At 36.6% G+C, this 17,455-nt stretch overlaps 1 protein-coding gene across 5 annotated transcripts in view; it reads right to left on the bottom strand.

Annotated features, from left to right (window-relative positions):
* DCC (DCC netrin 1 receptor) overlaps positions 1-17,455 on the bottom strand; it is a 1,195,703-nt gene that overhangs the window by 209,262 nt on the left and 968,986 nt on the right. For all 5 annotated transcript variants that reach the window (NM_005215.4, XM_017025568.2, XM_017025569.2 and 2 more), the window contains one exon: positions 4,481-4,591. In NM_005215.4, the coding sequence (NP_005206.2) occupies positions 4,481-4,591 (111 nt within the window). The remainder of the gene's footprint in view (positions 1-4,480; positions 4,592-17,455) is intronic.

The following is a 17,455-nucleotide window of genomic DNA, read 5'->3' as shown; positions in this document are numbered from 1 at the left end:
GAATATTTAAGGAAATCTTTTTAAAAATAGAGCAAACTAGCAGGTTGAATGTTCTTTTGTACCTACCAGTGACCACTATTGATCTTGTTCATTCCTTCAAATATTAATTTCCATCAAGGGTTACACTTTTTAATATATGAATGGTGCAATCAAAAGAAGAAAACCAGAAGGAAAGAAAGGAAACCAAAATCACTTTGAGGAAGTATCACAGTTGAAAGTGATCATGGATCAATAAATTGAGAAGGCCTTTGGTATTATCAATTTTTTACAGCAAGTAAAACATACACATCCCACATATTTATGCAGTTAAATGCTCTGAAATGGCTTTCAGTTTTCATTATGTCTAAATGTGAACAATCTCAAATCATAACGTGTAACAGCATTTTGTGCAAGAAGTATCAATTCTACTGTCTTTCTTCTATTAATTTTTTATTTATCTTTTTCAGATTGCTTATGTGTATATCACAGGAAAGGATAAGACTGTCTTTGCAATTCTCATCCATAAGAAAACATAAGAGAATGAGAAAAAAGTTGATATTTGTGTGGAAATATGTTTTGACAATTGACTGGTAAGGGAGTAACAGTTGGATGAGTGAGGATGCATTTTGAATTAATAGTGGCAGAAATCATTTTCTCAAGGCAATATTTCCTTGAAAAATGTCTTCTATGCTGTCCTACACACACTTCCTTACAATCCTAGCTGTCAGAACCCCCTTTCTCTGAAGTTTGTAGTTCAAGTTCTACGTGTTTTTATGAAATCTTTTCTAATCAGTGCAGCCATTATCTGTCTGGTTCTCAATAGAGCTGTTCTTGCTGTTTTCATGTTTGTACTCCCCATGATTCAGCACACGGTAAATTCTTAAACCATATTTTGTAATAATTACAACCATACCCAAAGAAAAAGAAGGAATGTTGCATGTACAAGAGGGCCATTATTAAGCCAAGAGCATAGAAAAGTTCAAACAAATCCAATTAAAAGCATTTATTAAGACTCTCATGAGCATGGCATAGAGATTCTTGATTGAAATAGATGTATAAATTGGATTACAGTTAGACTGCATTGATATGAAAAACATGGAGTTAAATGAAAAATTTTGTGTCTTCTAATAAGTGGTGACTTTATATTTTGGTTCTACTTAAGTTGTGACTCATTCAGAGTCAGGAAAAAGAGCACATAAGTCAAGTAGAGCGTCTGTTTCATTCTGGATATTTTGTAAGACCTTCAGCACCTCTGCTTCATTTATTTTCTCTCCTTCCAGTAAGAGATATAACCCCTTAGGTTTGGGTAAATAACGTGATCTCACTTCTTAGAATCGTTTGTTTGCCTTGAATCACTGTGTTTATGGTCATCAAGTCATTTCTACAGGATTAGTGGAGGCTTTTCTCTGATCACCTACACTGGACCTCAAAGCATAAAACTTTTTTTTTTTTTTTTTTTTTTGAGATGGAGTCTTGCTTGCTCTGTCTCACAGGCTGGAGTGCAGTGGCACAATCTCGGCTCACTGCTACCTCTGCCTCCCGGGTTCAAGCAATTCTCCTGCCTCAGCCTCCTGAGTAGCAGGGATTACAGGTATGCACCACCACGCCCAGCTAATTCTTGTATTTTTAGTAGAGACGGGGTTTCACCATGTTGGCCAGGCTGGTCTTGAACTCCTGACCTCAAGTGATCCACCTGCCTTGGCCTCAAAACCTAATTTTGAGCTCCACAGTTGCTAGCTGACTACTTGATTAAGTTAGTTAAATTTTCATAGCTTAACTTAGTCTCCCATAAAATAAGGCTAATAATGTATACTTCATAAGGGTAGATGAAAGGATAAAACATAAATCTATAAAATTTGAAGCTTAATTCTTAGGTAAATAAGTTAAAATAGAAAAAAATAACTATTTATATAGTTTATTGTGACCACTCTTCTATTTTTTTACATAAGACAAATTATAACCTCATGACTTTGGCATCCTTCTTGCCATATATATCTCAATCACCAATTAGGCTCTATTCAGGATGACTGTTCTTGATTTTTCTTCTACTTGAAGGGCTCTAGTCTGACCTATTCGCATGGCTTCCCCTTCACTTCCTTAAAGTCTGGGTTCATGTTTCATCTAAACAGAAAGATTTTCTCAGTTCCTTATATAAAGCAGTAGTTTCTAATCCTTGCTATCCCCTCTACCATGCTTCTTCAGAGCACCTATCACTATCTACCTCCATCTGAATACAACTTATACTCCTTGGGTGTATAGACTTTATTTATTGTTTTATCTCTAGTACCTAAGGTAATATCTTGCATATATAGACCTTTAATAAGAAATGTAAGTTGAATAAACACATGAATGAAAGTTTTCTAAGCTATTAGTGATGGGTATGAACTCTGTGAAATGTGACTTTTTCTAGCTCCACAACTTTTCAATTATATAACCTAAGACAAGTTAAATAATATCTCTAAGCCTCAAGTTACTTTTTTTAAACTCCTATATTACCTCTAGGGTTGTCTTAAAGTCATTGCCTGGGTTTGCCTACTTAGAATACTTTTTTGTGTGTGCATGCTTCAGCCAGAGTAATCTCTACAAAATGCAATTCTAATTAATTCACTATTTTTTTAAATCAACCTTTGAGGACTTGCTTAAAACAAAGTAAGTTATTGACTTAGACATCCTTAGACAATGTTTAAAATTCTTAACTTTGTCTTGTCAGATTTGGAACCTGCTTATCTTACAAACTTCATCATATGCCAACTCTGTGTTTCATTCTTGATGGCCTTTTTCAGTCCCCAAACAGCATCATTGTCTTGACTTTAAAAACCACATTTACCTTACTCACTATTCCTTCCCCTCAATCGCCAATGTATTTTTGCATACCTAATTCTTATTCATCCTTCAGGTCTCAATTTAAATGCAAGTCTGTCTGTTTGCCTGATGGTCTATCCATCCATCCATCTATCCAACCTTCCAACCTTCCAACCATCCAACCATCCAACCAACCAACCACCATCCATCCATCCATCCATCCACCCATCCTAAGTTGAACTGTAGTTTTCAAGTACCCAATCAGGTTTTAACTACAACAATGGCAACTTCCTATACTTCACCTAAAATGTCTGTCTTTCTTTGCTATTCTCCAAGCTCCATGAGAAAAGAACCAAGTGTTTCTTAGTTATTATTGTATCAAAGCTCAGCATGGTGCCTGATGCTTAGTAAGACTTCTATAAACATTCTTTGAATTAATATGCAGTCACATGGCAGAGATTAACATTATTATGGAAATATCAACTGTTGATTGTTTAATGCTACCATAATTATTTTAGTAAAACCAAATTTGTGGCTATAGAAAAATCATTAATGATAGTGAGGTATTCAAAAAGAGAAAAAGAGGAAGACAAAGGAGAAAGAGAATGAGATGGAGGAGTTCAAGAAAGAGGAAGGATGACATGAGAAAGTAATACAAGAACTAGGAAAAGAGTTAAAGTGAGGAAGACATGGAAAGAGAGATTTAAAAACGGAAGGGAAAAGAAAGGAATATAGAGTTTTTACTCTCAATTTTTACTGGAATAATTTCAGATGTATCAGTTAAGGAGTAAGAGAATTTCATTGTTAGATATAATAGGCAATTATCTTGTGCTGTCACATTTTCAATACATACGAGTTTATCTTTACATCTACCTTTAATTGACACTAGTTTTGATTACTTAGATTTAAGAATACTTATCATATCTTACTTCTTTTCCAAGGACCTCTCATTTTTATGAATTCTTACCTTTTAAATTTCTAACTCTAATTCTATATATTTCTGCTTTATTATTTAATGTTTTATTCTGTCACTTCATTACCCATTCATTTTAAATTTTATTTTAAAAATTTAGTCATGATGTTTTTATTTCCAGAGCAATTTCTCATTTGCTAATTTTGAGGATTATGCTTATATTTAATTTATTAATATATAAATCTTATATGAATCCTAATATCCTACTGATAAATGTTTCAGGACAACTATCAGCTAAGCAAATAAAGTAAGTTGTCTTTTATACCAAGAAAAGGTAATGATAATATCATAAGCAAGTAAAAAAATACATATAGATGTTTTTCAAAAGCCTCATAAAAAAGCAAGAGAAGCTATATTATATAGTTATAGTTCATGATTACTATTATAAATTACACTAATTCTTGTGAACGAAATGGTTAAGGTCAGTTATTCAAAATAAAATAAATAGAAAATATCTTATTTCAGATGATCTTGAAAACAAGTAACTTGTTTTGAGGACCATGATTATTGCATAATCAATGCTATGTCATTCATGGTCTGGCATTATTTACATGGCATTGTTGAAGACTATGTATTCACTAATGTTTCCCTGTTGTGTTTTGCATGTGAACATATAGTAAGAATCAATGTCCCCAAAGTTGGAGTTCATTCCTTTTTTAAGAGACCTTTTGAAGCTGAGATAACAAGAAGATAATCAGAGTGATAGTAACTGGGAAAAAGTCTTACCATCTAGATCATTCTCTGGAGTCTCTGCAGTATACCAGTTGGAAGGTGGTCCAGTACCATTGACTGTCATGGCTGACACCTGGAAACTGTACTGACTTCCTTTCTCCAGTCCTATGAAAGAATTTTCCACAGGGGGGAAGAAAGTTACTATGCACCAAGTATTCCTACCTGGGTTTCCAAAAGCTTCAGCAAAATTGTAACAATAGTGGACATGCTTTACATTGTTTGTGACTGTTGTGGTAATGATTATTTTGACTAAAAGGGTAGAAATATCATAGCAAGAAATCAAATTAATTTTTATACATTCTTATGAGTTTTTTTCCAGTTTATAAAAATGTGTCCATGTAAATAGCCTCAGGGCAGATGCAGAATATAAAATATAAATGATGAAGAAATAATCAAAAATTACATGGATAATTTTTCCTTACTGTTCAGAAGATCCACGTCTATAAATCAAGAACAGTCAATCTAAAAATTTATGTCTCCATCATTCATTCAAGGTCTGTGATTATGTTTTCTTTAGGCCAAAAATCAAGAATCCAAAGAAAATGCACTTCAGAAGAAAATATTAGGGCTTTTGTCTCTTAAAACCATCTTTCAAGAATATTTTGTTTTGCATTAGCTTCCACACAAGAGATATAGAAAATCAATCCCTATGATGATTTTGGCATAATATTGTGCACAATGATCACATTAGGGCTTATTTCAAAACGCACAGAGAACATAGGTAAACTAGAGAGACCACATGGATCATTTATCTGATATATGAAAATTTTTGATGTAAGTGACTTTCCTCTTACAAAAAGCTGAAAGTAGCTCATTAACATGATAAATTATTGTAAAATAAATGATATTTGTGAAAAGACCATAGGACATTTTTGAGACTCAGACTAAATGATCAAGTCCTTAAACCTCAAGGAATTAAACAACGCTGATAAAGATAAAAATGTAACTGTTATCCCCCATTCATCTGAAATAGTGCAAATATTTGGTGTCAAGAAAAAAATGCATAATAAAAGTAATTACGCTCATGTACAAAATTACATATTTGAAGATTTTTTGCATAGGAAGATGAATACTTAGTAGTAAGGGGAATTCAAACTTACTACTAATAGGAGATGGTATTTTAAATAATGGTTAGAAAGGATTAGTTATTGTCAAGGAACAAACAGTTGCCTTCAATAGACGGTACTATTAGACCATTTGATAAATTCACCTACATAATATCTATAACACAAATTTCTGTCCTCTAAAGAAGCTTCTAATTTTATAAAATAGACTAGAAGCTCCATGAAGACATATATTGAGACTATCATTGGTGCTCTTATCTTTGTTATTAATATTATTCAGGTTTTAATTGCATATTCATAGGGCCCACAATAGTACCTGAAGCAGGGAAGATGCACACACAAAACAATACTTGAAAAATCCACTAAAACTAAAACTTAACATAAAGAAAACATTAGGTTAATATACAGCATTCAACCACATCAACAAGATGGCAAAGAGATGCTTCCAACATAAGGCCTTTGTCATTCCTTAAGTAGGCTCGTGCTCACTTTGATTTGTTAACATGGTATTGATCTAATTTTGTTCATCTTTTTCACCATTTAGTAGGCACTGTTGTTGATTACAGAGGCAGAGGGGTTACAGAGATTTTCTGGGAAATTAAAAAATTAATAGGGAGAGAACTCTGAGAAGAAATGGTTACCTACTCATAACAGCTTATGACTTTCATAATGCTCTTATTTAAAATAAAGTTCTAATCCATCAAAAATGTACTCTTGGCCGGGCGCGGTGGCTCATGCCTGTAATCCCAGCACTTTGGGAGGCCGAGGCGGGCGGATCACAAAGTCAGGAGATCGAGACCATCCTGGCTAACACGGTGGAACCCCGTCTCTACTAAAGATACAAAAAATTAGCTGGGAGTGGTGGTGGGCGCCTGTGGTCCCAGCTACTCGGGAGGCTGAGGCAGGAGAATGGCATGGACCCGGGAGGCAGAGCTTGCAGTGAGCAGAGACCATGCCACTGCACTCCAGCCTGGGTGACAGAGTGAGACTCCATCTCAAAAAAAAAAAAAAAAAAAAGTACTCTTGCGTTATGTAGAAGTTTAACTTCATTTTTCTTTAAAATGAATAAACAATCATGTCAATACTGTCTCCAGTGATTGATTTGAAATATCCTCTGTGATGGTCAGTTATATGTATCAACTTAGGTGGCTACAGCACCCAGTTATTCAATCCAACACTAACTGAGGTATTACTGTGAAGGTATTTTGTCGATGGGAATAAGTCCATATGTAGTTGACTTTAACTAAGAGATATTGCCGTAATCTATTTGGATGGCCCAGATTCATTCAGATAAAAGACCTTAAGTGCAGAACTGAGGCTGCCCTGAGGCAGAACTTCTGCCCTGCCATGGCTGTGGACTTAGCTTGAGAGCTCCAGCCTGCCCCTCTTAATGGCCTGCCCAGTGATTTTTGAATTGCCTGGCCAGCCATCATAACCACTTAAACCAATTCCTTGCAATACTTTTCTTAGTATGTATTTCCTGCTGGCTTTCTTTCTCTGGTGAAAATCTGACTGATATACCTGTTTTAAGCAAAGCAAAGTCTGCTAACAACTTGAAGTTATCATTAGAAAGCAATTTAGATCTTTGTGGCTTTAAAGTCTGTTTTATCAGAGATTAGGATTGCAACCCCTGCTTTTTTTTCTTCTTTCTTTCCATTTTCTCGGTAAATATTCCTCCAGCCCTTTATTTTGAGCCTATGTGTGTCTCTGCAAGTGAGATGGGTCTCCTGAATATAGCACATCAATAGGTCTTGACTCTTTAACCAATTTGCCAGTCTGTATATTTTAATTGGGGCATTTAGCCTACTTACATTAAAGGTTAATATTATTATGTGTGAATTTGATCCTGTCATCATGATGCTAGCTGGTTATTTTGCCCATTAGTTGATGCAGTTTCTTCATGGTGTCAATGGTCTTTACAATTCGGTATGTTTTTGCAGTGGCTAGTACCAGTTTTTCCTTTCCATATTTAGTGCTTCCTTCAGGAGCTCTTGTAAGGCAGGCCTGGTGGTGACAAAATCTCTCAGCATTTGCTTGTTTGTAAAGGCTTTTATTTCTTCTTTGCTTATGAAACTTAGTTTGGCTGGATATGAAATTCTGGGTTGCCAATTCTTTTCCTTAAGAATGTTGAATATTGGCCCCCACTATTATCGGACTTGCAGTGTTTCTGCAGAGAGATCTGCTATTAGTCTGATGGGCTTCCCTTTGTGGATAACTTGACCTTCCTCTCTGGCTGCCCTTAACATCTTTTCTTTCATTTTAACCTTGGTGAATCTGACCATTATGTATCTTGGGGTTGCTTTTCTCAAAGATCACAAAAAAAAAAAAAAAAAAACCCAACGAAGAAGGGCATTATATAATGGTAAAGTGATCAATGAAACAAGAAGAGCTAACTATCCTAAATGTATATGCACCCAATACAGGAGCACCCAGATTCATAAAGCAAGTTCTTAGGGACCTACAAAGAGACTTCGACTCCCACTCAATAATAGTGAGAGACTTTAACACCCACTGTCAATATTAGACAGATCAATGAGACAGAAAATTAAGAAGGCTATTCAGGACTTGAACTCGGCTCTGGACCAAGAGGACCTAACAGACATCTACAGAACTCTCCACCCCAAATCAACAGAATATACATTCTTCTTAGCACCACATCGCACTTATTCTAAAATTGACCACATAATTGGAGGTAAAAAAACTCCTCAGGAAAGGCAAAAGAATGAAAATCATAACAAATAGTCTCTTAGACCACAGTGCAACCAAATTAGAACTGAGGATTAAGAAACTCACTCAAAACCACACAACTACATGGAAACTGAACAACCTGGTCCTGAATGCCTACTGGGTAAATAAAGAAATTAAGGCAGATATTGATAAGTTCTTTGAAACCAATGAGAACAAAGACACAACATACTACAATCTCTGGGACCCAGCTAAAGCAGTGTTTGGAGGGAAATTTATAGCACTAAATACCCACAGGAGAAAGCAGGAAAGATCTCAAATCGACACCCTAATATCACAATGAAAAGAACTAGAGAAGCAAGAGTAAACAAATTCAAAAGCTAGCAGAAGACAAGAAATAACTAAGATCAGAGCAGAAATGAAGGAGATAGAGACACAAAAAACCCTTCAAAAAAATCAATGAATCCAGGAGGTGATTGTTTGAAAAGATTAACAAAATAGACCACTAGCCAGACAAATAAAGAAGAAAAGAGAGAATAATCAAATAGACACAATAAAAGATGATACAGGGGAGATCACCACTGATCCCACAGAAATACAAACTACCATCAGAGAATACTATAAACACCTCTATGCAAATAAACTAGAAAATCTAGAAGAAATGGATAAATTCCTGGACACATATGCCCCCTGCCCGCTGCAAGACTAAACCAGGAAGAAGTCGAATCCCTGAGTAGAACAATAGCAAGTTCTGGAATTGATGCAGAAATAGCCTACCAACCAAAAAAAGCCTGGGACCAGATGGATTTATAGCCGAATTCTACCACAGGTAAAACGATGAGCTGGCACCATTCCTTCTGAAACCATCCAAACAACAGAAAAAGAGGGACTCCTCTCTAACTCATTTTATGAGGCCAGCATCATCCTGATACCAACACCTGACAGAGACACAACAAAAAAAGTAAATTTCAAGCCGATATCCCTGATGAACATCAATGTGAAAATCCTCAATAAAATACTGGCAAACCGAATCCAGCAGTATATCAAAAAGCTTATTCACCATAATCAAGTTGGCTTCATCCCTGAGATGCAAGGCTGGTACAACATATGCAAATCAATAAACATAATCCATCACATAAACAGAACCATATGATTATCTCAATATTTTGAGATATTTTGTCACAAAGACAAAACCTACATGATTACCTCCATAGATGCAGAAAAGGCCTTTGATAAAATCCAACACCTCTTCATGCTAAAAACTTTCAATAAACTAGGTATTGATGGAACGTATCTCAAAATAATATGAGCTACTTATGACAGACACACAGCCAATATACTGCATGGGCAAAAGCTGGAAGCATTCCCTTTGAAAGCCGGCACAAGACAAGGATGCCCTCTCTCACCATCCCTATTCAAAATAGTATTGGAAATTCTGGCCAGGGCAATCAGGCAAGAGAAAGAAATAAAGGGTATTCAGATAGGAAGAAAGGAAGTCAAATGGTCTCTGTTTGCAGATGACCTAATTGTATATTTAGAAAACCCCATCATCTCAGCCCCAAATTTCCTTAAGCTGTTAAGCAATGTCAGCAAAGTCTCAGGATACAAAATCAATGTGCAAAAATCACAAGCATTCCTATACACCGATAATAGCCTAACCATAAGTGAACTCCCATTCACAATTGCTACAAAGAGAATAAAATACCTAGGAATACAACTTACAAGGGATGTGAAGGGTGTCTTCAAGGAGAACTACAAACCATTGCTCAAGGAAATAAGAAAGGACACAAACAAATGGAAAAACATTCCATGCTCATGGATAGGAAGAATCAATATCATGAAAATAACCATACTGCCAAAAGTAATTTATAGATTCAATGCTATTCCTGTTAAGCTACCATCGACTTTCTTCACAGAATTAGAAAAAAAAAAACTTCTTTAAATTTCATATGGTTTCAAAAAAGAGCCTGCATAGCCAAGATAATCCTAAGCAGAAACAACGAAGCTGGAGGCATCAGCCTACCTGACTTCAATCTATACTATAAGCTACCGTAAACAAAACAGCATGGTACTGGTACCAAAACAGATATATAGAGCAAAGGAACAGAACAGAGGCCTCAAAAATAACACCACACATCTACAATCATCTGATCTTTGACAAACTAGAGAAAAACAAGCAATGGGGAAAGGATTCCCTATTTAATAAATGATGTTGAGAAAACTGGCTAGCCATATGCAAAAAACTGAAACTAGACCCCTTCCTTACACTTTATATGAAAATTAACTCAAGATGGATTAAAGACTTAAATGTAAGACCTAAAACCATAAAAACCCTAGAAGAAAACCTAGGACATAGGCATGGCCAAAGACTTCATGACTAAAACACCAAAAGCAATGGCAACAAAAGCCAAAATTGACAAATGGGAGCTAATTAAACTAAAGAGCTTCTGCACAGCAAAAGAAAGTATTATCAGAGTGAACAGGTAACCTACAGAATGGGAGAAAAATTTTTTTAATCTATCCATCTGACAAAGGGCTAATATCCAGAATCTACAAGGAACTTAAACAAATTTACAAGAAAAAAACAAACAATCCCATCAAAAAGTGGGCAATGGATATGAACAGACAATACTACTACAAAAGAAGACATTCCTGGGGCCAAAAAATATATGAAAAAAAAAGCTCATCACTGGTCATTAGAGAAATGCTAATCAAAACCACAATGAGATACCATCTCATGTCAGTTAGAATGGTGATCATTAAAAAGTCAGGAAACAACAGATGCTGGAGAGGATGTGGAGAAATAGGAATGCTTTTACACTGTTGGTGGGAGTGTAAATTAGTTCAACCATTGTGGAAGACAGTGTGGCGATTCCTCAAGGATCTAGAATCAGAAATACCAATTGACCCAGCGATCCCATTACTGGGTATATACCCAAAGGATTATAAATCATTCTACTATAAAGACACATGCACATGTATGTTTATTGCAGCACTATTCACAATAGCCAAGACTTGGAACCAATGCAAATGCCCATCAATGATAGACTGCATAAAGAAAATGTGGCATATATACACCATGGAATACTATGCAGCCGTAAAAAGGATGGGTTCATGTCCTTTGCAGGGATATGGATGAAGCTGGAAACCATCATTTTCAGCGAACTAACACAAGAAGAGAAAACCAAACACCACATGTTCTCACTCATAAGTGGGAGTTGAACAATGAGAACACATTGACACAGAGAGGGGAACATCATACACCAGGTCCTGTCAGGGAGTGGGGGGCTAGGGGAGGGATAGCTTTAGGAGAAATACCTAATGTAGATGACGGGTTAATGGGTGCAGCAAACCACCACGGCATGTGTATACCTATGCAACAAATCTATACTTCCTGCACATGTATTCCAGAACTTAAGTTATAATAATAATAAAAAGAAAGCAGTTTAGAGGCCATCTAGTGTATTGTAAGTATTTCCCCAAAGGGATCTCACCTGGCCAGGCTATACTATTTATCAGAGTATCCCTTCCAACCATATACAGTAGGGGAGCTCTTCATATCTTCCTTTCTATTACATCTGCAGGGAAGTTTTAGCATCCTGTAGAGATTAGTGCCTCAGGTCACTCTGAAAATCCTGCCAAATGTCTTTGAAGTATTATATTTTATCCTTAAAACACCTTCAACTTTGCTGGGCTGTGGAATCTAACTACAAACACCTAAAAAAGCTAGGTTAAGTATAAAAAAAATTTAGATATGTATAGAATCCCATTATTAAAGAAAATCTTCAGTAATATCTAGTCAAATGGCTCATATAATGCTGAATATCTAACAAAGTGTCCCTGTAAATAAAGCAGGAATACTTTTGTTGGATGAGAAATTCAGCAACGGAGATAACTCACCTTCAAGTTTTGCTTTTTAGAAAAGTTCTTCCTTAGGTTGCACTGAATCTGATTTACCATAGTATCACTTACAGATAGACTGCACTAGTTTTATCCTAGTGGGATAAAAACAAATTAAGTTTCTCCTATAAAACATGTTTATCCAAGACTTTGGATTCTAAATTCGGTAACTTTTTTATCAAACCTTTATCAAGAAAATTTAACTTGCGATCCTTTTTTTATACCCAAGTAAGTGCATGATATAAAGCAGAAGCAGAAATTTTGACTTTTCAGAGAAGCAGTCTGGACATTACCTTTAGAATTCCAGGTTTCAGGTGGCCCTGCTTCTATGCTGTGATTTGTTTGGGAAAATTTTAGATGTACTGGAGGCTCTTTTAATAGCTATTTCCTATCTAACGTGATTAAGTAATAATACATGCTTCCACTTTATAGTGTTTCTTGTGAGGGTCAAATGAAAAATTGCCTGTAAAAGTGATTTATAAAATCAAGCGTTTCATAGATGTAGTGATAACTGACATTGGCACAGTGATTTCCAGGTTACTTTCTTGATTTTTCAAATACCCTGCGATTTTGGCGCAGAATACATGATTGGTCCCATTTTAGAGACATGAATAAGGCTCAGAGAAATTAAGCTAACGTATTATGGTGTTTTAGTTAAAGCTTGGACTATCCTTGGGTAAAGAATCTTGACTCTGTTCTGTCTCTTGCTGGGCACCTTCAAAGGCCCACATGCCCTATGCTAGAACCCAAGAGAGACATTAGCAACAAATTTAAAGCACTATGCAGGCATGGAAGAAATATCTATCTATGATCACTACATCAGACTTGAATAATAGGCAGGTAGGGAGGTTAAAATTGATGATTCTATTATTTTTGACAGTGGATCAAGCTAAGAAATCAGTAATATCCAAAATTCAGTCTCAAGAAGAGTTAATTTGTTCTCTTGCTTAGAAATGCGGCCGGGAGCGGTGGCTCAAGCCTGTAATCCCAGCACTTTGGGAGGCCGAGGCAGGCGAATCACTTGAGGTCGGGAGTTCCAGACCAGCTTGGTCAACATGGTGAAACTCCGTTTCTACTAAAAATACAAAAATTAGCCTGACGTGGTGACGCACGTCTGTAATCCCAGCTATTCAGGAGGCTGAGGTGGGAGAATCACTTGTACCCGAGACGCGGAGGTTGCAGTGAGACGAGATCGTGCCGCTGCACTCAACCCTGGGCCACAGAGCGAGACTCTGTCTTCAAAATAATAATAATAACAATAATAAATAAATAAATATACCCTATTAGAGAAAAGAGTTATCTTCCAGAGTTATACCAACAATAACCACCACCAAGCAATTTTTGGGGGCCCCAACTCTGATAGCTGATATCAGAAGATCTTTCAATGTTGCTTTCTTTCCTTCCCTCCCTTCCTTCCTTTTTCCTTCCTTCCTTTCCACCCTTTCCTTCCCTCCCTTCTTCCCTTTCCTCCTTCTTCCCTTCCTTTCTTCCTCCCTTCCTTCCTCCCTCCTCCCTCCCTCCTCCCTTCCTCTCCCCACTCCCTCCTCCCTTCCCTCCCCTCCCTTTCCCTTCCCTCCCCTCCCCTCCCTTTCCCTTCCCTCCTCTCCCCTCCCTTTCCCTTCCTCTCTCTCTTTCATTGGAGGTGGAGTAAAGAGAAGGCAGTCTGTAATTAAAAGCTTTTTTTTTTTTTTTTTGAGACAGTGTCTTGCTCTGTCGCCCAGGCTGGACTGCAGTGGCACAATCTCGGCTCACTGCAAGCTCTGCCTCCCCGGTTCAAGCCATTCTCCCGCCTCAGCCTCCCGAGTAGCTGGGATTACAGGCGCCTGCCACGACGCCCGGCTAATTTTTTGTATTTTTAGTAAAGACGGGGTTTCTCGATCTCCTGACCTCCTGATCTGCCCTCCTCGGTCTCCCAAAATGCTGGGATTCAGGCTTAAGTTACCACGTCCGGCCAATTAAAAGCTTTTTTTTTTGTATGTATATTTTGAAAAGCTGTTATCTTAGATCTAGTTCCTGAACTGGGATAATAGGAATATTTTTAAAAATTTAAATAATTTGGCCAGGAAAGCTTTTATTTAATATGTTCTAGAGTTAGTCAGCTCCTCTAGCTGTATGGTAATCTTTATCTTTTTCTTTTTCTTTTTTTTTTTTTTTTTTTTTTTGAGACAGAGTCTGGCTCTGTCGCCCAGGCTGGAGGGCAGTGGCGCAATCTCGGCTCACTGCAAGCCCCACCTCCCGGATTCATGCCATTCTCCTGCCTCAGCCTCCTGAGTAGCCGGGACTACAGACGCCCGCCACCACCACACCAGGCTAATTTTCTTTTTCTTTTTTTTTTTTTTTTTTTTTTTTGTATTTTTAGCAGAGACAGGGTTTCACCGTGTTAGACAGGATGGTCTCGATCTCTTGACCTCGTGATCCGCCCGCCTCGGCCTCCCAAAGTGCTGGGATTACAGGCATGAGCCACCGCGCCCTACCCACTGTATGGTAATCTTTAAGTTTTATTGTCCAATAGACATCTTTTTCCATCCTTGTGTTTTTCTCCTATCCCTTTTAATACTGATACAATCACGAATGCATTGCCTACGGTGAGAAACACATTATTTACAGTTTAAGAGGTAAGAATATAGGTTTTCTATTCAGGCAGTATTAGGTTTGAATTTTCATTCCATTACTTATTAGCTGGTTGACCATGAAAAACCAGGCCTCTTTGTTTACTTCCATGCCCTCATCCATAAAATGGGGATACATAAATAAAAACTGTCATAAAGATTAAAATGGAAAACACACATATAGCTTTTAGCATAGTGAATGATTTGAGTTCAGTAAGTAATAATATGGGTATTATTGTTGTAAATGTTAAACATTGTTTTTAATGTTAATTATCTTTTACAAAGTTATATAACAGCCTTAATCACTCACAATAAAGTGAACTAAAGATGACAACACGCATAGTGAAAGGAGCACATAATGAGGAGTTAGACAACACACAATTCACCTGGGATCATCTCCTTAACTAGTGGAGGACCTTAGCCATACCACCCTCCAGACCTCAGTTATTTCTTCTGTAAAATAAGCAGTATGGCCGGGTGCGGTGGCTCACGCCTGTAATCTCAGCACTTTGGGAGGCCAAGGAGAGCGGATCACCTGAGGTCAGGAGTTCGAGACCAGCCTGGCCAAAATGGCGAAACCTCGTCTCTACTAAAAATACAAAAAATTAGCCAGGTGTGGTGGTGCATGCCTGTAATCCCAGCTACTGGTGAGGCTGAGGCAGGAGAATCACTTGAACCCGGGAGGCAGAGGTTGCAGTGAGCCGAGATTGCACCATTGCACTCCAGTCTGGGCAATAAGAGTGAAACTCCATCTCAAAAAAAATAAATAAATAAAATAAATAAATAAATGAAATAAAATAAAACCCAACCAGTTTGGATGAGACGAATTCTGTGTTTCCTGCTATGTTTGTCAGGATCATAAAGTTCAATCTCAATGTGTGTGTGTGTGTGTGTGTGTGTGTCCTAGATGCTTCTAAGTATACCTTTATTGTAAGGGTAGTACGGTGTAACTAGCAATGCTTTTCATAGCTGTAAAAAATTCAGTTGTTGAAAGTTGATTATCTCTGCAGGTTTCTATCCTGAATGCTAAGTGTCCTCAAGCTTTGTAATTCTTATGTTCTATTTCTAATTTTTAGAACTTCTAGTAAGAGATGGCATATTATTCAAACAACACAATTTCCCAATGTTAGCCCTGTTATAAAATTGCTATGCTATTATTTCAATTTTTCAGTCCATAAACTATCAATGCATCTTTATTATTATGTTTATTATATATTGACCATGAAACACAAGAAAACTCTTAAATTCAATTCAAACAACCTTCCCTGAAGAGCAGTCAAAAATTAAAAACGTTTTAAAATTTAGTTGACGTGGGTTCTCACAATAAACCTGATAGCAGTGATTTCAATTCTTGTTATAACTCTGAATTACTTTGTTATTGCAGATGTCTCATTATTCTCATTAAAAAAACACATACACACAAAAAACACCTGTCTAACAAATAGAAGATTGTAAAAAAAAATTTGAGTATCTACACCTGAATATTTATAACATACAAATGGAGCATTCTGAAATTTCCAATTTTTTAAACAGCCAAATCAATAAATCCATGTATCTTATAGGCATTAAAATCATAGGATCAAATCCTTTACATTTTACAGTGCTGTAGATTTATATGGAAAATCAATTACTTCTGCTTACAACAAAGTGTGTAAGTGCTATATATATCCTGGGGACATGTCTAAACCAAAGCCAATCTACAAGTATGTAGCGCTCCCTGGTTCCTTAATGTTTTGTAGCATTGAAGACATATATTCCCATAATATCTAGCAATGCAACAGGTGTTTCTGTAGCCCAGTCACAGAGCAGGGGAGAGGAGGGAACGATTTTCCAAAGCTACTCAAAAAAATTTTAAGTATATGATGCTGTTCATTAACTCTTTTTATTGCTTTAGTTCAAATTTAGAAAGAGTATATATATATATATATACACACACGTATATATACATGTATATATATATATATATATATACACGCACATATATGTTTGCAGTAAATCTCAGGCATAGTCGCACATATAACTGCTCATATTTTGTTTGCATTCCTAAATGCTTTATTATAACTCATGAAATCAAGATGTAACAATATGAATAAAGCCTACATATTTTGGATCCAAATTCTTACAGCTCTATGAAGATGCAAATGGGCATTTGTGAGCTGTTCCTAATAACTAATTAATTCATCTCACTTTGCTTTTGGCTGGAATGATAATAAACCAGAGTGGTGATGGGTTACCTCATGCTGATTAGAAGTTCTAACTGTCACACATATTTTAGATGAATGAAAATGTAGAACTGAATTATTTATTTTTGAGTAAGTAAAGTTTATTAGAAGATACAATTCAAAATGATTGTCCTTGAGAGGAAAAATTTAAAAAGGAGTCTATAGTAGTTTGAATGGTATCCCCCTAGAATTCATGCATGTCTGAAGGATCAGCATGTGACCTTATTTGGAAATAGGGTCTTTACAGTTATAATTAGTTGATGATCTCAAGATGAAGTCATCCTGGATTTCAAGTGGGCTCTATCTCTAATGTCCTAATTGGAAGAGGAGAGAGGCCAGGCACAGTGTCTTATGCCTATAATCCTAGCACTTTGGGAGGCTGTGGAGGGAGAATGACTTGAGGCCAAGAGTTTGAGACCAGCCTGGGCAACAAAGCAAGACCTTGTCTCTACGAAAAATTTAAAAAATTAGCTGGGTGTGGTGAAACAC

Source organism: Homo sapiens, chromosome 18 (assembly GCF_000001405.40).
Source record: "Homo sapiens chromosome 18, GRCh38.p14 Primary Assembly".
Lineage (NCBI taxonomy): Eukaryota > Metazoa > Chordata > Mammalia > Primates > Hominidae > Homo > Homo sapiens.
The sequence above is the reverse complement of the archived record's forward strand: the minus strand, read 5'-3'. Positions and strand labels throughout refer to the sequence as shown.